At 37.6% G+C, this 21,332-nt stretch overlaps 1 protein-coding gene across 10 annotated transcripts in view; it reads right to left on the reverse strand.

Moving 5' to 3' along the window:
* Positions 1-21,332, reverse strand: part of SLCO6A1 (solute carrier organic anion transporter family member 6A1) — a 127,228-nt gene that overhangs the window by 105,181 nt on the left and 715 nt on the right. For 4 of the 10 annotated variants that reach the window (NM_001289002.2, NM_173488.5, XM_005271874.4 and 1 more), the window contains exons 2-3: positions 3,223-3,480; positions 722-907 (exon numbers count right to left, since the gene is read on the reverse strand). In NM_001289002.2, coding sequence (NP_001275931.1) covers positions 722-907; positions 3,223-3,480 — 444 coding nt within the window. Of the gene's footprint in view, positions 1-721; positions 908-3,222; positions 3,481-21,332 lie in introns of those variants that run through there. The other 6 variants (NM_001308014.2, XM_047416703.1, NM_001289004.2 and 3 more) reach the window with 4 other exon arrangements.

Below are 21,332 nucleotides of genomic sequence, written 5' to 3' on the forward strand. Positions count from 1 at the left end.
TATTCTGAGATATAGCCAGGATTACTTATTGTAGGATACAGTGGCATAGACATTGTAAATAGGGATAGTATGCTATTATTAATTAAGTATATATACACATATATGAATATACATATTTATAAATGTACATACATATACATAAAGAGTATAATTTTTATTACTTAAGAAAGTATTTTTTGTTTGTTTGTTTGAGACGGAGTCTTGCTCTGTCACCCAGGCAGCAATGGTACGATCTTGGCTCGCTGCAATCTCTGCCTCCTGGGTTTAAGCAAGTCTCCTGCCTCAGCCTCCAGAGTAGCTGAGATTACAGGTGCTCGCCACCATGCCCAGCTAATTTTTTTGTATTTTTAGTAAAGACAGGGTTTCACTATGTTGGCCAGGCTGGTTTTGAACTCCTGACCTCAAGTGATCTGCCCACCTCAGCCTCTCAAAGTTCTAGGATTACAGGCATGAGCCACCATGCCTGGCCGAAAGTACGTATTTTTTCAATTGCTCTATATATTTTCAGTGACATTCAGGTGACTTGTCTAGAATCTCAAATCTCAAACAGCTACTTAGAATTAGGTGAATCAATGTGATTTGGAGGTTTAGCATACCAATTATCATTTATTACAATGTTATCATAAGGGCCAATAGTACTTCTATATCAGCTTAGATATGCATACCAAAATTCAAAGAAAACTCAAAATGGGTCAATCGTAATAGAGGGGGTAAAACTTGCCTAAATAGATACCAGCTGAGTGTGTAGCAACATTCTCATCAATAAAGGTTATTCCAAGGATATAAAGAGGCATTCCTGCTATTCCCTGCACAGTCTGCCCAAGGATGAAGAAAGACAGGTATTTTGATTGGAATGATATACCACTGCTCTGGCAACCACTGACAACCTTTATTTCTTCGCAAATATCTTTTGAAAATACAATGATTATATTTTTGTTAATTGAACTCAAACATAAAACAAATGTGCAGTATTCTTTATCAAATATTTTACAAGCTATTTCCAAAATTATGCTTTTTTCTTTTAGTTAACATTTCATTTACATTGAATGTAGTAGTACTGCAATCAATCATCATGTTCTCAGAAAAATGCCATCATACAATTTGGGCCAGACACAGCACACACCTGTAGTACCAGCTACTAGGAAAGGTGAAGTGAGAGGATTGTGACAAGCCTGGGCAACATATTGTGACCCCGTCTCCAAAATAAAAAATAAAAAAAAGGAAGAAATTGTGTGGGAATCCTGCAAAAGATGCATATATTATAAACCAAAACATAAATGTGCATGCATGATTGTATATATGTGTGCATAAATATGTTTGTATATATATGCATTTGCACATAGACATAGCACATATTCCTCTTAAATTTGGCATCTAGTTCCCCTGACTTTTGACCCTAGGCTAAAAGTATTTCTAATGTTCTAGATTATCTGCGTTATCAAAGAGTACTTTCTGAGTTTAGTTTTATGTTCACCTCTTTAACAATCTTTATATTCACTTTGTCTCACTCTGATTAAATAATTTCCCATTTTAGACTCACTAACTTTTAGAACATATGTTCATAAGGACAAGGCATTATACAGTAAACATTTCTTTCCGTTAGAGTTAGTCATTATGTGGTCATCCACTAGATTTTAATATCTTCCAGGTCACAGTATATTTCTTATACTTTTTTTATTCACATGGTTATATAACAATATTAAGTAAATGCTTGTGTAATTAAATTTGTTTGTAGATTGTTAGATCCAGGCAATACTATTAGATTATATTGGCCATGGTTATTTAACCATGGGTTGACATTTAACAAAATGCTCTTAAAATAATATTGTGGAAACACTATTAAAGTGCAGATTGCAATACAGTATACAAATGAAAATTTTCATCTGGTTTAGTATCCATGTGAAATGATTTTGACTTCATATCAAGTGGGAGGTAGTCTCTACAACTGTCATTCAAATGCCAAAGGTTCAATTTTATACAGACATATTAACTTGTGATATCAGTGTCAATGTGATATTTCCAACACCCTGACCTCTTAGTTCCTTGAACTTTTTTCCTGTTATGCACTGTACTCCACCTACCTTGGCTAGTTATATGTTTTGGCTCTGTGTCCCCACCCTAATCTCATGTGGAATTGTAATTCCCAATGTTGCGGGAGGGACCTGGTGGGAGGTGACTGGATCACGGGAGCAGATTTCCCCCTTGCTGTTCTCGTGATAGTGAGTGAGTTCTCACATGATCAGGTTGTTTGAAAGTGTGTAACACTCCCCACGTTGCTCACTCTCTCCTGCTACAATGTGAAGATAGGCTTGCTTCCCCTTCAACTTCCACTATGATTTTAAGTTTCCTGAGGCCTCCCCAGCCCTCCTGTACAGGCTGCAGAACTGTGAGTCAATTAAATCTTCTTTCTTTATAAATTACCCAGTCTCAGGTAGTTCTTTATAGCAGTCTGAGAATAGACAAATACAGCTAGTCATTTTAAATGTCAAAAATAATAACTACAAACCTTTCCTAATGATAATTTCAAGCATCTACATTCTAACCACCCCTATCTTTCCGCTCACTCTTTCCAGCAACCCAATTCCAACAATCCTTAAAATTCATCAGGGTATATAATCCATTGATTCTGCTCCTTTTCACTATCCCAATGTCCCCTTCATGTCCTTACTTCTTTCACTATCATTTAAATACTTTTAATTCCCTTGCTCTCTTTCAAATCATGCAAAACCATGGTAAAACTGCAACCCTACTCAAAATAACTCTTCTTCCCACTCCCTACATGTACTGTTAAAGCTTGATGTGGCTGCACAACCATGCAAATCCCACTTTGAGTTCATGATTAATAAACTCAAGGAGGTCCTTCAAGCTCCTGATAATAATAAAAAATGCCCCTAATCGATTCACTCTTCCCTTCTCAAAGAAAATTCAAGTTGTTTGTTTCCCTTCTCCTAGGGATCACAGTACTGAGCTTCCTACTGAACAACATCTGAAAATAAATGTTTTCTATCAATAGACTAAAATTAATCATTAACTTCCTCTGTGATGACATATATGTCCACTGGAATGCTACAATTAGTTAATTAGCAAACTTGGTCATATAAATCAAATGGATGGATGGATAGATATACAGACAAATAATTATCACAGTCTATTTTAAGTTCCTTGAGCCAAGGTTTGAATGAATATTGATTTGATGTATGACAGTATATTTTAAAACCTTACCTTCAATTCCTACCTTACTTTGTTTATTTTCTTCATTAATGGATGGAAAAGCACATAAAAGTGATCCAAGTCCTATTAAAAAGGAGGAAGCTACAAACCATATTACTTTTTTTCTGTCTCCATAGAATGCTATAAATATTGCTACCAGGCCAGATGAAATATCGTAACTCTTTTCCAATGCCAACTTCTCAATGGTTTTCAGTTGATATTCCTTCTGAAAATCGCCAATGCTGACATCTATAAGACCAAACACCACACCTAAAATGTAAAAAGAAAAAGAGAAAACAACGATATGCATTTTAAGAGGTCATTATGATTATTACAAAGCAAAATTTAAATTACATGATGTAAGTTTATTTTAAATTATTCTGAATGTTTAAAAGCTATAAGCAAGTAACAATTCCTTTTCTAAAACATAAATAGGCCTTAACCTCTACAAAATATTCACTAATTGAATTTTTGAAGCTATTTTTAACTACCTCTCTGAGTAATTTCCTAAAGAATAGTGATTGCTGTGTCATCTCACTTAGTACTGATCTTTGTTTTTATGTATTGCATTTCACATTATAAAAAATTTAAAACCATTACTAATATAATATTTATTTATCTACCATATAGAATAGAAAATAAAACATTATCAAAATAGTTAAAGCCCAATGCATATTTCCCAAACTCGTTTGTCTCCCTCCCCTCCATAATCAGCATCCTGTATTTAAAGTTTACCAGTTTTTAGCCTTTTTAACATTTTTGACAATACATATGTCCTTAGACAATATCAAGTATTGTTTTTCATGTTCCTGAATGTGAAATGAATGGTACCATATTATGTGTATTTCTATCACTCAACATCCAACTAGGAAAAAAGTAATCATAATCACACTAAGAATTTGAAACAAAATTAATTGATGTAGGGATTGATTACAAAAGTAGTACATTAGTTGGAGTCCAAATGGTTACTAATCAAAATTCATGATATCTATGCAACCAAAGTTACTGGTGCATAGGCTGCTGCTACTATTGCTGCTGCTGCTGCTGTTAGAACTGCAATCACTACATTTTTTTTTTGGCAGGAAGCCAGGAGCCCACAGTCTTCCTATGACAGGGAGCTCACCTGCTGATTTTGATGCCCTTGCAGGTGCCAGAGCCCATGGGCTCTATAGTGCTGATAGCATCACATTTATTCCTGAGCATAAATCCAGGAGGCTTTAATCACCCAGCATTGCTCCTGATGCCAAAACCACCAGAAACAGAAAGGAAAAGAGAGTCTTCCCTTTGCCCTTTTTCAAATCTGCTGCCACAGATTCACTTGCAGCATGTAAGTCGAAGTCAGCTGGGCCCCAGCAACTCTGGGAATTGTGGTTTCAGACTTCCCATTCCCCTTGCAAATAGGAGTGAGTAATGGAGTTCATGGCCAACAGACAAATAACTTGCAGAGTTTATCTTTTAGACTACTTGGTATACATTTTCACCCTTCCTCTCATATTTAAACTTTCATATCAAATAAGTAGCAATATCATCATGCTTCTGCCTAATGTATCACAATTATCATTTTACAGAAATGCTGTTACACTTTCTCCCAAAAAAGAGAGGTACACAGTCTAATCAATCACAATATCTATCTCAGTGTAATGTTAATCCTTCAGTTTAATCACAAACCTGAATGGATTTTTTTAACTTAAAAACCAAATTGCAAAGGTAACCATCAATAGTTAAGCAAATATGTCACAGCCCTAACTAAATTTTTGAGGGGAAATATATTGCCAAAGAAGCCACGAGCCAGATTTGGAGCCACAACTAGTTTCAGCAGACCAATACCAGCAGGAAACAACATATAAAAACTTTGCTGCACCCAGGATAAGAATTTTCTTTAACTTTTACATTAGATGTGGCCAAGGAGGATAATGGCCAATGTAGGAAATAAGTCCTGTTAGTAACTGAGTTTATCTCTAAGGTGGGGTTATTAATTCCCCTTCCGATTGAGGCATATTCTATAACCTAGAGATTAATTTATATGGTTCTCTACCTTCCATAAAGTATTAATAGAAAAATAAAATAGGAAAGGAGAGAAAGAGAGAAAATAAAAAACCAGAACATATACATATATAAACATATATACACGCAAATGTACATATGACATATTTGTGTGTGAATCCACAAGACAAGCAAGTAAGAGGAAATGCAGAGCTGCTACAAGTTTTATTTCTCTCAGTGGTTATGAGACTATAGTTGATATTCATAGCTTCCTTCTTCTACTATTCACTCGCTCTTCTACCCCTTGATCGCAGATAACATACATAGATTGTTCTCTCAAAGCACATACCCCATCCTATAGGACAGCACTACAAACTTGTTTACTACTGGGAGTGGTTGAATGTTGTCTACTACCACGAGTCTTATCCAAGTCTTCAATAAGACATCATAATTATCTATAAGACCAAAAGTTCTGGTTATTGAGATATGTAGTAAAATCAGTGAATTACATGAACATGAACCTTCTGCTATACTTCTTTACTGTAAAATTAGTTCCTTAATTAGAAGCAATGTGTTGGTAAATATGGTAATACTGCTTTATATGGCATTCATTAAGTCCAGTTATGGTAGTGTTAGCAGGACCATGATGACAAAAGAAGAACCCATATCCAAATAAATGGCTAATTTAGTGAGGAGAAATTACTGCCCACTTCATAACAGAACCAGAACTATATAATACCTGCCTCCAGGTAACTGGTTGGTTTCACTAAGGAATGGAGCCAGTACCTAGATTATATTGACTCTTCCTGGTAGCAAGGCAGGCATTCAGCAGTGCAACAACCAGACGAGCTCTGGTGAAGTTAAGGCCATGTATTCACCTCTTATATAACCTCCATCCTTGATGTAATTGTCACTATAAATAAGACCCCATTGAACAAGAGATAGAATGGCTAGGGAAAGAGGCTGGCTAATATTCGTATCTATCTATCTACTTCATTATTGAGAGCCTCTTGTGCAATGGCTTTCTTTTGGTGAACATTCATTCAGATAGGATAACTCTGCTCATATGGAGAGACTCACCACTTACACAGCCTTTCTAATTACCAAATGGTCAAACCACTGGGCAATGTTTGGCAATATGGACAATCAGATGTACTGCTCAATGTTCTTTCCACGGGGAGAATTTCCTTTTTCCTCTACTTTTCAAGGCCTCCCCTAAGTCTATAATGCTACCATAGCATACTTCTACCATTGAAAAATCACAGAGGCTCACCAAAAAGTGTGCCTCTTAATAGTGAGTGGTACAATAGCACACACTTTTCCTTCATTTTGGAAGAGAGAGTGTTCCATATACTCCAAACCAATTGGTGTCTAGAACTACTACTGAAGTGGCAAGCAATTTTTGGTATATAGAATATTTTCTCATAGGATAGATTTTATGTTAATCATTCTGGGAAGGCTGGATCTGATTTGAGTTATGAGTCTGGCAGCAATGGGGTATGGGATCGTTTATAAGGGGAATTAGCATTCCTTTAACTCAGGTGAGGCCAATTCAATGTCTTCAAGCAAGGAACTGTTTCTCTTCAGATATAAGAGGACTAATTGTTCCTACTGGCAAAGAAGGTACAGGATTTGGGGTTTCATGTTTCTCAGGTTCACCAAATTTCACCCAGATGCCTTTATCCTAATTCTCAAGGTTTCTTTTTTCTCAAATCAATGCCCCAGCTCCCACAGAAGTGATCTGGTGAGTTTGAGTTCAACTTATGTTGCAATTCTGCCGCCTGTGAGTAAGAGTTAGTATTGACCAAAAATATGTGGCTAAAAATAATAAGAGTTTCTTATGAAACTAGGAGAGAAGCTCACACGTTTTCTAACCATACCCTAAACTTTTCATTTTCCTTCTGTAAACTTTTCAATGCAGTTAAAGGTTCCACCACAAGAGTCAATTGCAGCAGCTATTTTGTCTTTCAATGTCTTGCCTTCAATAAGAACTTTATCCTAGGCAATAATTTAAATGACTCTTTTTGTCGCTACATGCCATGGATTTCTAGTGAACCATAATTCACAGGCACAAATATCACTGTTTTCATTGACTCCAAGCCCAATCATGTCAGACAGCTAATTCCAGATTTCCATCTTTGAGGGTTCGTTAGTTTGTTTTGTTTTGTTTCTCCTGGTTCAATGACCGGTACAGAATATTATATCAAAAGTCATATTACTGGCTGGGTGCAGTGGCTCACACCTGTAATCCCAGCAGTTTGGGAGGCCGAGATGGGTGGATACCTGAGATCAGGAGTTCTAAACCAGCCTGACCAACATGGTGAAACCCTGTATCTACTAAAAATACAAAAATTAGCCAGGCGTGGTGGCGGGTGCCTGTAATCTCAGCTACTCAGGGAGGCTGAGGCATAAGAATTGCTTGAACCCAGGAGGCAGAGGTTTACAGTGAGCCAAGATTGCGCCACTGCACTCCAGCCTGGGCGACAGAGGGAGACTCTGTCAAAAAAAAAAGGTCATATTATTTTTGTAATTATAGATAAATTACTTTTATTACATTGGTGAAGCTGAAAAAGTTTACTTAAAACATTTCCAAGCATTTTTATGTTATACATCAGAAATTTTTTTAAAAATAAGATTATTAATAAACACATACTTTAACCAGTTTCTTAGCCATACTATCCTTAATAAAATGTGATTCATATCTTTTCTGAAAAATATATTTTAGTAGTTTTTACAAAGTTAGGTGCAATATATTAAAGTTGCTTTTTACAGTTTTGCAGTGAAGGGTTAACTGAACAGGACTGGGTTGTTTTAAAAAGGCCTGGCCAGGAGCATGGCTCATGCCTGTAATCCCAGCACTTTGGGAGGCTGAGGCGGGTGAATCACCTGAGGTCAGGAGTTCGAGACCAGCCTAACCAGCATGGAGAAACCCCATCTCTACTGAAAATACAAAATTAGCCAGGCTTGGTGGCATCTGCCTGTAATCCCAGCTATTTGGGAGACTGAGGCAGGAGAATCGTTTGAACCTGGGAGGCGGAGGTTGTGGTGAGCTGAGATTGCACCATTGCATTCCAGTCTGGGCAACAAGAGCGAAACTCCATCTCAAAAATAAATAAATAAATAAATAAATAAATAAATAAATAAATAAAATAAAATAAAAGGCCTGACTTCAGGACTGGCTCTTCGGTGGCTCCCAGGAGAAAAGCTCTAAGCCCTTGGAATATTCTATCCAATAACAATGTTTTTATATGGCAGAGGCCTTGGGCCATATTGTACCAGTTTGATCACACAGTTTATGCTAACAATGTGATTTATGGTGAAGATCTTTCTTGTCATGGGGTGTGGGTGTGGAGTCTGAGTACCTGAGGTTAGTCACAGAGGTTTTGCATGCCTACATGACTGACAGAAAAACCCTGACCATGAAGGCTCACGTAAGCTTCCCTGGTTAGTAACACTTTGGATGTGTTATTACACGTGTTGGGAGAAATAAGCATGTCCATGTGATTCCACTGGGAGAGGACACATGAAAACTTGCGCCTGTTTTTTTCCAGACTTCATCCCATGTGCCTTTTCCCTCAGCTGATTTTAATCTGTATCCTTTCACTGTAATAAACCATAACCAAGAGCTTATTTTAAGTCCTGTGAAGTCCCAGGGAATCATTTAGACTGACTGTGGTCTTAGGGGCTTCTAATACATAGTTAATAAATTTGAAGTTATTACAACCTCTATTGACATGTCACTGTAGAAAATGATATTTTAATTGATAAAAACTCTCTACAAGTGTGTAAGTGTCTAGTAAGCTCAAAAACAAGCACTGTTAAATGAAGGATGTTCTCAATTATATTTTCATATTAAACTATTTCAACCAAAATATTTCATTCAGAGAATATTTCTTTGAAAAATATTTTACAAGACAAAACTCTTCAAATAAGTTGTCTCTATTTATGATTACTTTGTTTCACCAAATTTAGCTATGTAAAGCTATAGGTCTACTTAAGTTCATTCAATTCAATTTACAAAGTATAAATTTGCCTAGTTAGAGCAAAGGAACTATCCAAAGATTCTTTCCCAAAATAAAAATGTGTACAAAGCACAATTAAAGGATTTCTAAAATAAATCTTGTATGCTACTCAAGCTCTCATAGTTTGTTTAGTTCCTCTCTTAGTTTTGGAGGGATGCATTTTAGTATCTTCCCATTTTTAAGCTTTGTTTTCAATAATTAAAATTCAACAAAAGCTTCTAATATTTTAGAAGTATGGTGATTCATTCATTGAATACTTTAATGGAAGATTTTCAGCTGCTTTTAAATAAAAGTACAACTGCAAATTAGAGAATTTATTTATAAAACAGTTCAAAATCATAAATCAACTGAGGTTAATTTATAAAATAATGAAAAAAAGTCCAACATTTGTGAAGTCTATTGTTTCCAGGAGGCAAAGAAAGGCAATGTATACCAATAAGATGAAGTATTAATACATAAAAACTTGAACATGAATAAATGTTTGTAAATGTTGATGTTAAATATTATATTTTCTTAGGATACAATTAGGAATTGTTTGTGTACCAATTCCAAGCACATTTCTGCTTCACTGCTTTCCTAGTACCATAAGTACATTGTCTTTACTATGATTCTCTACCCAAAAATTCGTGTAAATATCGTTACAGAAATAAATAATTGTATCTTCAAAAATGAAAGTTTAAACATATAGTATTCACATTAATATCAGGTGTTTATCTTCAACAGAATGAACTTCCAAAACTTTTCTTTAATTTCACAAAAAATAAATTATTATTTGAGTTAATTTATTTTCTATTTGAAGTTCCCGATGGTACTGATATAAAGCTGGCATTATCTAACAATTTGAAAAACTGTCCTTCTGCTAATGGGGTGAATTCATTTACAGCTATTATTTTAATTTTCATATGTGAATATAAAAATTTGGAATTGAAAATGAGCAAAATTAAACTAGAACAGTTAAATCTAGATGAAAAAATCATACTTCACAAAATGTTTTGTAAATAAGCCTTTTGCAGCTGCATGTGTTATCTTTTTCAGCTGTAGTCTTCTAAAATCACCATTAACTTCAGCAGATTTATGTCTTCGGGTTTTTATGTGGTCAGTAATATCACTATGGCCTTTGATAAATAGTAAATGTAAACAATGTACAAGTCTTCATCAATTTGCTTAAGAATAGCACATGCCATTTTTGATGTCATGGTGCCAAAAAAGGTATACTAGAAAGTAAAAAAGCATTACCAAATAACAAAATCATAAAATGATGGTTATATGCACTATATGATAAATGAAAATACCGTAGTACAAAGTGTGCTTAGACTACTATGCACTCTGTGACTTTACTCTTCGGCCACTGTTTCCTACAGATACTTTAAGTAAAGCTAATCTATTATGTCTAATGCTTCCCACTGACCCTACCAACAGGTAGCCTGGTGACTTCATGTATCTTGCAAGTCGCAGCATGGACCATCACAATTCTGGCTAATATACCAAGTGGGTGGCAGAACCAGCCGCATCAAATACTTGCCCAACCACTCAAAATTGGGTGGAGTTAATTTTAGAGACTAGATCCAAGATTACTTCATTTTTCAAGAAATGCACATCACACTGTCCCTGAAAGGAATTTTCATTAACACTACATGTGGACAAGGTCTAGAAAGAAAGACAGGTTATTGCTGGTTGTCTTTTAGATCTTACTCTATGTCAAAGTAAGAATTGTGTTCAGCACACAAATTTTTTAACCACTGTAAAACAAGACCAAGGCAGAATCTAAAAGCACAAAGTTAGGACCAACTAAATCCATCCCAGCTTGTTTAAATAAACTATTAATAATAATACTTAGCAAAAAGGGAGAAAACTGCAATGAAAAATGGGACAGCTGGCATAAACGGGAGCTGTTTCGCATAAATTAAAGCATATAGTCAACCAGTTAAGTAGTAAATATGTTCCCCTACAATAAGGCAATTAATTAAACAAAGTAAGGGAAAATTTTATAATGATAAAGAGTATAATTCCAATACAATAACTATCATTATATTAAGTATTAACTGACATAGGGTTAAATAAATAAAATGAGAAAATAAAGAAAACATAAAGAGAAACAAACCAAAACAAATCTCAATGTTTTCAAACTGTTATATATCAGGTGAGCAAAAATCAGTAAAATCATAGAAAATAGCAATATACAATTCTCCTCGATTTATCAAATGTTAATGTTTTGTTATATTTTTCACGAGTTTCCAAATATTCTATTTTAAAAAGTAACATGTTAAGATACACTTGAACAACTCCCTTTGATATAGTTCCCTGACCTGTTGATTACACTTCCATTAATAGTAGACTAAATAATTCAATTCTCTCATTCTGCTGAGAATATGAAAGTTAAAAAATACTTTTAGATCTGTTTGAAAGCATAAAGAGCTAACTAAGCAATGAGAAATTATGGGGACAAGATTCAGGAGAAGAAGAAAACCCAAACAGATAATCCTTGCCTAACAGACACTTGACACTTCAGTCAATTTAATTTAAGCAATAATGTTGTTACTACAACCTAGAGATATCAGCGTTCCATATTTGCACTGGCAACAAGGTCAGTACTGTCTTCAAATTTAGTCACATCAGAGAAAAAATTCTAGATTTCCCATTTTAAGGAATAATTTCATCTATCAAAAAATTGATCATTTTTCATTCAAATACAAAGGAAGACCCACTCTAAAAATGCTAGAAAATGAGGATTTAAGAATTAGGGCTTACATTCAAATATTGGGAGAATTGAGAGACAGAAGATTGAGGAAGTCACATAAAAAGTCAGGAAGTTACAGCCAGCAGGCCAGGGGAGACAGAAGCATAGAAAGCATAGAAGCATAAAAGTTAGAGTCCCTTTGGTTAGGGGTATGCCCCACTGCTATTTCTCCCCTTTATTTTCTTTAAAAAGTCATCAAGAAATTGAGCAATGCTCAAGAGCTTCTGCAATAGTTCCCAAGAGCTGCATCAGCCTGCAGGAGCAAAGTGGGTGGTTTTTAAATGCTCAGCAGGATACACGCAACCTCAGACCTGCAAGGATTTGCTTGCAAACATCTCTGGAGAAGGATGACTCTCCTCTCCTTCTCTTCAAACTTCCAAACATCGCATACGTTACCCTCAGTGGAAAACTCTAAAACAGAATCATATGGAAAAGGGGGATTTCCAGAAATTTAAATTATTACCCAGAATATTTAAGGAACTCAAACAATTCAATAGCAAAACAAACAAACAAACAAATAATCCAATTTAAAAATGGGCAAAAGCCCTGAATAGGCATTTCTCAAAAGAAGACATAAAAATGATCATCAGATCTATTTTTTTTAATGCTCAACATCACTAATCATCAGGGGAATGCAAATCAAAATCATAAGATATCCAGTTACAATGGCTGTTATCAAAAAGACAGAAGATATGTATTAGCAAGGATGTATAGAAAAGGAAGCCTTTATACACTGTTGGTGGGAATTTATGTAAGAGTAACCATTATAAAAACAGTATGGAGGTTCCTCAAAACTAAAAATAGAACTACCAAATGATCCGGCAATTCTGCTACTGGATATATATTCAAATGAAATAAAATCAGTATGTCAAAGAAATATTTGCATCCCCATGTTTATTGAAGCAATATTCATAATAGTTAAAATATGGACCAACCTAAGTGTCCATTGACAGATGAATGGATGAAGAAAATGTGGTATATATACATAATGGAATATTGTTCATCCATAAAAAAGAATAAAATCCTGTTTTTTACTACAGCATGGATAAAGAACATCATGTTAAGTGAAATAAGCCAGACATGGAAAGACAAGTACTGCATGTTCTCACTCATATGTATAATCTAAAAAGGTTGATCTTACAGAAGTAAAGAGTAGAATAATGGTTACTAGAGGCTGGAGAGGGTGGAAGGAGGGATGCACAGAGGTTGGTCAATGAGTACTAAGTTACAGTTAGATAGGAGATATCAATTCTGGTGCTCTGTTGCACAGTAGGGTGACTAGAGTCACCCTATTAACAATAATGTACTGTATACTTCAAAATAGCTATAAGAGAGCATTTTGAATGTTCTCACCACAAAGGAATGATAAATATATGAGGCAAAGGATTGCTAATTATACTGATTTGATCATTACACAATATAAACATAAATTGAAATACTACATTTTATCCCATATGTATGTACAATTATTATATGTCAATTAAAAAATAAAATAACTATGATCAATATGCTAAAGACATGTATTAGTCCATTTTCACATTGCTATAAAGAACTACTTGAGACTGGATAATTCATAAGGAAAGGAGGTTTAATTGACTCACAGTGTGTCTGGAATTGGTGGGTTCTTGGTCTCACTGACTACAAGAATGAAACCGCGGACCCTCACGGTGAGTGTTACAGTTCTTAAAGGCGGCATGTCTGGAGTTTGTTTGTTCTGATGTTCGGGTGTGTTCCGAGTTTCTTCCTTCTGGTGGGTTCGTGGTCTCCCTGGCTCAGGAGCAAAGCTGCAGACCTTCATGGTGAGTGTTACAGCTCTTCAGGTGGCACATCTGGAGTTGTTCGTTCCTCCTGGTGGGTTCGTGGTCTCGCTGGCTTCAGGAGTGAAGCTGCAGACCTTCGCGGTGAGTGTTACCGCTCATAAAGGCAGTGTGGACCCAAAGAGTGAGCAGCAGTAGGATTTACTGCAGAGAGCGAAAGAACAAAGCTTCCACAGTGTGGAAGCGGACTCAGGGGGTTGCCACAGCTGGCTCCGGTAGCCTGCTTTTATTATCTTATCTGGCCTCACCCACATCCTGCTGACTGCTCCATTTTACAGAGAGCCGAGTGGTCTGTTTTGGCAGGGCGCTGATTGGTGCGTTTACAATCCCTGAGCTAGACACAAAGGTTCTCCATGTCCCCACTAGATTAGCTAGATACACAGTGTCCACACAAAGGTTCTCCAAGTCCCCACAAGAGTAGAGTAGCTAAATACAGAGTGTCCATTGGTGCATTCACAAACCCTGAGCTAGACCCAGGGTGCTGATTGGTATGTTTACAAATCTTGAGCTAGATACAGAGTGCTGATTGGTGTATTTACAATCCCTCAGCTAGACATAAAGGTTCTCCAAGTTCCCACCAGACTCAGGAGCCCAGATGGCTTCACCCAGTGGATCCCCTACCGGGGCCGCAGGTGGAGCTGCCTGCCAGTTCCGCACGGTGCACCCGCACTCCTCAGCCCTTGGGTGGTCGATGGGACTGGGCACCGTGGAGCAGGGGGCGGCACTCGTTGGGGAGGCTTGGGCCACACATGAGCCCACGGAGGTGGGGGAGGCTCAGGCATGGCAGGCTGCAGGTCCCGAGCGCTGCCCCACAGGGAGGCAGCTAAGGCCCCGCGAGAAATTGAACACAACAGCTGCTGGCCCAGGTGCTAAGCCCCTCACTGCCTGGGGCCTGCGGGTGGCCCGGTGGCTCCGAGTTCAGGGCCCACTGAGCTCACGCCCACCCAGAACTCGTGCTGGCCCGCAAGCGCGGTGCGCAGCCCCGGTTCCCGCCCGTGCCTCTCCCTCCACACCTTCTTGCAAGCTGAGGGAGCCGGCTCCGGCCTTGGCCAGCCCAGAAAGGGGCTCCCACGGAGCTGCGGCAGGCTGGAGGGCTCCTCAAGCATGGCCAGAGTGGGCGCCAAGGCGGAGGAGGTGCAGAGAGCGAGCGAGGGCTGTGAGGACTGCCAGCACGCTGTCACCTCTCAACAGTTCTGCAGGCTGTACAGAAAGCATGGCTGGGGAGGCCTCAGGGAGGCCTCAGGAAGCTTACAATCATTGTGGAAAGTGAAGCGAAAGCAGTCACATCTTACATGGCCAGAGAAGGAGGAAGAGAGTGAAGGGGAAGTGCTGTACACTTTTAAACAACCAGATCTCTTGAGAACTCACTATCACAAAACAGCAAGGGGGAAGTCTGCCCCCGTGATCCAATCACTTCCCACCAGGACCCTCCTCCAACATTGGGGATGACAAGTCAACATAAGATTTGGGCAGGGACACAAATCCAAACCATATCAGGACTCTATTGGAAAGAATGGACAATATGCAACAACAGATAAGTAATGTAAGGAGAGAGATGGAAACTCTAAGAAAGAATCAAAATAAAATGTGAGAAATCAGAAACACTGCAGCAGAAATGAAAAAAAATGTCTTTGATGACCTCCTCAGTAGACTGGATAGGGTCAAGAAAATACTCAATGGGTGCACTTCCAAGATGGCCGAATAGGAACAGCTCCAGTCTACAGTTCCCAGCGTGAGCAACATAGAAGACAGGTGATTTCTGCATTTCCAACTGAGGTACCGGGTTCATCTCACTGGGGCTCGTTGGACAGTTGGGACAGGACAGTGGGTGCAGCCCACCGAGTGTGAGCTGAAGCAGGGGAGGCATTGCCTCACCTGGGAAGTGCAAGGGGTCAGAGAATTCCCTTTCCTAGCAAAGGGAAGCGGTGACAGACGGCACCTGGAAAATCAGGTCACTCCCACCCTAATACTGCGCTTTTCCAATGGTCTTAGCAAAGAGCACACCAGAAGATTATATCCCGCTCCTGGCTCAGAGGGTCCCATGCCCACGAAGCCTCACTCATTGCTAGCACAGCAGTCTGAGATCAAACTGCAAGGCGGCAACGAGGCTGGGGAAGGGGTGCTCGCCATTGCTGAGGCTTGAGTAGGTAAACAAAGCAGCTGGGAAGCTCTAACTGGGTGGAGCCCACCACTGCTCAAGGAGGCCTGCCTGCCTCTGTAGACTCCACCTCTAGGGGCAGGGCATAGCCAAACAAAAGGCAGCAGAAACCTCTGCAGACTTAAATGTCTCTGTCTGACAGGTTTGTGCATTGTGCACATGTACCCTAGAACTTAAAGTGTATTAAAAAAAATACTACACAAAGGGTACATAATGCTGCACAAACTCTTTCAGAAAAAATGAGGAGGAAAGATAAGAAGGGGAAAAACATCCCAATTAATTTAGCGAAACTATTACCTGTTACTAAAGACAGATAAAAACACTCTAAGAAAACTGTAGAACAATACTCGCACAGAAACAAAAATTTTTAACAAAATTTTGGCAAATTAAGTCCAGCAATACGCAGAAAAAGACAATCATCTAATAAAAAGGGCTTATCCTAGGAATGCAAGGTTTGTCAAATATCCAAATATTAAAAAACGCAATATATCATATTAATACAACAAATTTTTCCTTATGAACATCTCAATAGAGGCAGGAAAAAGCACATGATAAAATTCAACACCAATTAATGACAAAAAATTCTCAGCAAACTAATAAGAGATATCCTTAAACTGATAAAAGGCATCTTAAAAAATAAAACCTACAGTTAACATATTTAACTGTGAAAGGCTGAATTTTTTCTATCTAAAAATCAGAAAAATATCAATGAACATTGCTTTTCCTAATTTCTATTGACCATTGTACCAGGGAGCCTAGCCAGTGGAATAAAGTGACAAACCGTAACAAAAAGCATCCAGATTGGGAAGAAGTAAAACTGTCCTTATTCACAGATGATATAATAATGTATACTAAAAAATCCTAAGGAGTCTGCAAAAAAATGACTTCTGTAACTTAATAGGTTAATTGAACAAAGATGCAGGATAGAAGATGTAAATGAAGATGATATATCCAGCATGTTCAGTCATGAGGACACTTAATATCGTTAAGAGGTCAATTTTCTCCAAATTTATAGACTCAACAAAATCTTAGTAACTTTTTTAAAGAAATTGACAAGTTTATTCTAAAATTTACATGGAAAAGCAAAGATCTAGAATAGCCAAAACAACTTTTAAAAGGAACGAAGTCGAAAGGATACCTGATTTTAATGCATATAATAAAGCTACAGTAACCAATGCAATATAATATTTGCATAAGTATAGATGTATTAGGAAAATAGAACTGAATAGAAAGTCTTGAAATAGACTCAGAAAGAGATCAGAACTTCCACAAAAGTATCAAGATAATTCAATGGATTAAAGGGCACTGTTTTCAATAAACTATACTGGAATAAAGCATTTTTTCTATATGAAAAAAATTTAAAACTTGATCCTTTCCATACACCAAAACAGTTCATTCACAATGGATCAGAGACCTAAACATGAGAGCTAAACTATAACACCTCTAGAAGAAAAGCAAAGTAGAAAACCTTCATGACACTGAGTTAGGCAATAGTTTCTATGATAGAAGCCAAAAAGAATGAATCATTTAAAACATTAATAAATTATACTTCATCAAAGTTGAAAGTTGAATCCTTTCTTTGTCAAAAAGACACAGAAAAATATTAAAAAGCCACGGATTGGGAGAAAATATTAGTAAATATTTATTCAACAAAAGGCTTGCATCCAGATTATATAAAGAACACTCAGTAATAAGAGAAACAACCCAATTTATTAAAGGGCACTTCACAAACAAAGACATACAAATGGATAAAAAGCATATAAACAGATGTTTGAGACAATTGGTCATTGGGGAAATGCAAATTAAAATCACAGTGAGATCCCATTATACAATCACTGGAATAGCTAAAATTTTAAGAACTGACAATACCAACTATTAATAAGAATGTGGAACTGGAACCCATATATTGCTGACGGGCAGGATCGCAAATGGTACAGCCACTTTGTAATTTGGCAGTTTCTAGCAGGTACACTTAAATACTTATACAGCCCAGCAATTATATTCCTAGTTATCTATCCAACAGAAACAAAAATGTATGTCCACACAAATATGTATATGCAATTCCTCTTAACAGCATTATTTATAGTAGTCAAAAAAATATAGAAACAACGCAAATGTCCATCAACTACTGAGTGGATATAGTGGATAAAATTCCATTCAATGATACTATTCACAATAAAAAAGAGCAAACTGTTAATACACACAAAAACATGAATGAATCTCAAAACCATCAAGCTATTAAAAGAAGCCAGAAACAAAAAAACCAGAAACTGTATGATTCCATGTTTATTAAATTCTAGGAAATGTAAGACTCTAATGACAGAAAGTAGGTCAAGGTCACCTAAGGTAGGAGGTAGGAGCAGGAAGTGACTGCAAAGGGGCATGAAGAAAATTTTAGTGTGATGGAAAGTTTCTAAAATTTATTGCATTGGCTGGGCATGGTGGCTTATGCCTGTAATTCCAGCACTTTGGGAGGCCGCGGTGGGCGGATCACCAGAAGTCAGGAGTTTGAGACCAGCCTGGCCAATACGGTGAAACCCCATCTCTATTAAAAATACAAAAATTTAGCCTGGCACTGTGGCGGGCACCTGTAATCCCTACTACTTGGGAGGCTGAGGCAGGAGAATCACTTGTACCAAGGAGGCGGAGGTTGCAGTGAGCCGAGATCACATCATTGCACTACAGCGTGGGTGACAAGAGCAAGACTCACTCAGCAGAGGCAGTCTCAAAATTAATTAAATAAATAAATAATAAAAAATAAAATTGATTGCACTGTGGTTTCATGTCTGTACATATTTACTAAAACTCATTGAATAACATACTTTGAAAAGTGAATTTTATTGTACATAAATTATATCTAAATAAATCAGAAGGAAGGATGGAGGGAAAGGGAGAAGAAGAGAGGAAGGGAGGGAAAAAAGGCCTGAGTCTGGTCATCAGAAAACATCAAACAGACCCAGATTGAAGCTCATCCTGCACTACAAAAAAACCATACTCTGTAAGACTTTCAAGGACATAAGAAACAAGAAGAAAGTATGAGGAAGTGTTCCAGATTAAAGAAGACTTGTAAAATATGACAACTTAATGCAACATATGTTCCTGTATAGAATTTTGGCCCCAAAATGAAAAGGAGACAATATTGAGACAGCTGGCAACATCTGGATGGGACCACCAGTTCATAATTGGATGATAGTATTGTACTGATATTCCTGCCTGTGAGGAACGATGGTTATGTAAGAGAGTGTCTCACTTTGGGAAGTTGCACACTGGAGTAGTTAGCAGTAGTGGTGCACCATGTCTGAAAAACTGGGCATGTATAGGGAAAGAGAAGGCGAAGGAACAAATGTGGTAAAATGTTAACAGATGAAGAATCTGGTTGACTCACAGGAAGCAGGTATTGTTTGTACTGCCTTTGTATCCCTTCTTTATGTTTGAAATGATTTTAAAATTGTTTACAATGTAAAAATAATAAATAGATCAATTGACAAATAGAAAAATGAAGAGAGATACCATTTTTATGAATGGAAGACTCAATATTATACCCAAACTGAGCTAACTACCTGTATGAAGTCAGTTAAGATACAGAGCTAAAAACCATATACTGTCCATCACTTGTTCAGAAACCTTCAATGGCTCCTCATTACCCACCTAATAAGGGGATTACACTAAACTAGATAATACTTGCAAAGCACCTTACTCATGACCCAACATAGTGGGAAGTAAGTACCTTTTATATCCTTTCAGAATTATGTCTGGTATTTAAAGGCCTTCATAATCTAGGCATAATCTGTCTTTTCCTTTCTTTTAAAATTCATTCATGCATCGAATACATATTTACTGAGTGTCTTCTATACCTCAGTCACTAAGGAGACATGATGGATAATATAAATATAATTACCCCCTTATGGTGCCTAGATGAAACCATTATCCAGCCAAACTTGTCATTCACTATTGTGAAACAAGCCTTTCTAAAACAAAACACGATTCATTAACTCGCTTCCCTATTCAACAAATACTCTTTAATTTCATTCTGGCTTTCAAAACTGTACCTACTATAAAGGCATAGTTCAAATGCTTGTTCTTCTAAGAAACTTCTTTGATAATCTCAAGACAAACTCGATGACAATTTATTAGTTTTTCTAGTATGGGTCTTACAACATACAGCCTTTTGATTGCACTTATTTAGACCTAGCATCTTAGAGCAAAAAAGAGAACAGGTTTGTCAAATTCCAATGCCATCATTGAAAAGAGGCTAGTAAAGAATCTTGATGTAATAGGGGAGGTGAGAGCTGTGGTCAAGTAGAGAGGCATGCCAGGTCTAAAGTGTTCAAATTCACCTTCTTCAAAATATGTGGGCAAAAATAACAACCTCAAGTTTAGATTCTCTTGTATAAATTCATAGATGAGGAAAAAAGATCCAATAGAGAGTGGCTGAGCCAGAATGTCGCAAATTTGTGAGCAGGATCAGAAACCATTTAATGATCATAGACACCGTTTTCAACTTTATTTTAAACTCCAGGTGATTCAACCCAGAACTTCTCAGAGTTGGTGACCAAACAACGATAAATGACTCAACAATATCCTCTCTGCAGCTGGCTATCTGGAAGCCAGGCCCTCATCACCCACAATGTGTAGGATGGACTGTGCCAGTCAGGTTCTGGAGGAGGTGAGGCACCCAAGTTCGTGCCAGCCGGTTAACCTGTTTTTGAAACTACCTTTGCAAAAATTATAAATGAGGAAATTATGACAGTGAAACAGATTGGACCTAATCCACTCCTTCTTGCTTCTAACCTTTAAACTCCTTGTTCATTCCTGGGCTTAGGCCGAACTAACTTTGGGAAGGAATTCATTTCACAGTTTGACTCTGAAACAAAATTGATAATAGCTCTTTTCTGAAAAGATCCCCTTGTTGCCTGGGGACTAATCTGCCTTTGCAGGACTAACAAATTATCTACAAGATTAGAAATTAAGGTTAGGGGTCATGCAGCCTCTGGCGCCAAGAGTCTGAACCTCCGCAAATTGCTCCTGGGGAAAACATCATTATTGTAAAACCGAAGCTCGGTGCTTGAGATATTTTGCAGACCCTTCACTGGATGGTTGAGCTGACACCACCCAGACAAGTAATCTGGGTCAACTAGTTCTGCCATCCCACCCAGGAACAGAAGATGGCAAGAAAACCTGACTTCAACCACACTATGATTCCCTGACCAACCTGACCAATCAGCACTCCCCAGTTCCCGAGCCCCTGCCAGCCAAATTATCTTTAAAAACTCTGATCCCATCCCAGAATGCTGGAGAGACTGATTTGAGCAATAAAAAAACTCTGGTCTCCCGCACAGCCGGCTCTGCGTGCCTTACTCTTTCTCCATGGCAATTCCCCTTCCTTGATAAATCTTCTCTGTCTA

Source organism: Homo sapiens, chromosome 5 (genome assembly GCF_000001405.40).
Source record: "Homo sapiens chromosome 5, GRCh38.p14 Primary Assembly".
Taxonomy (NCBI): domain Eukaryota; kingdom Metazoa; phylum Chordata; class Mammalia; order Primates; family Hominidae; genus Homo; species Homo sapiens.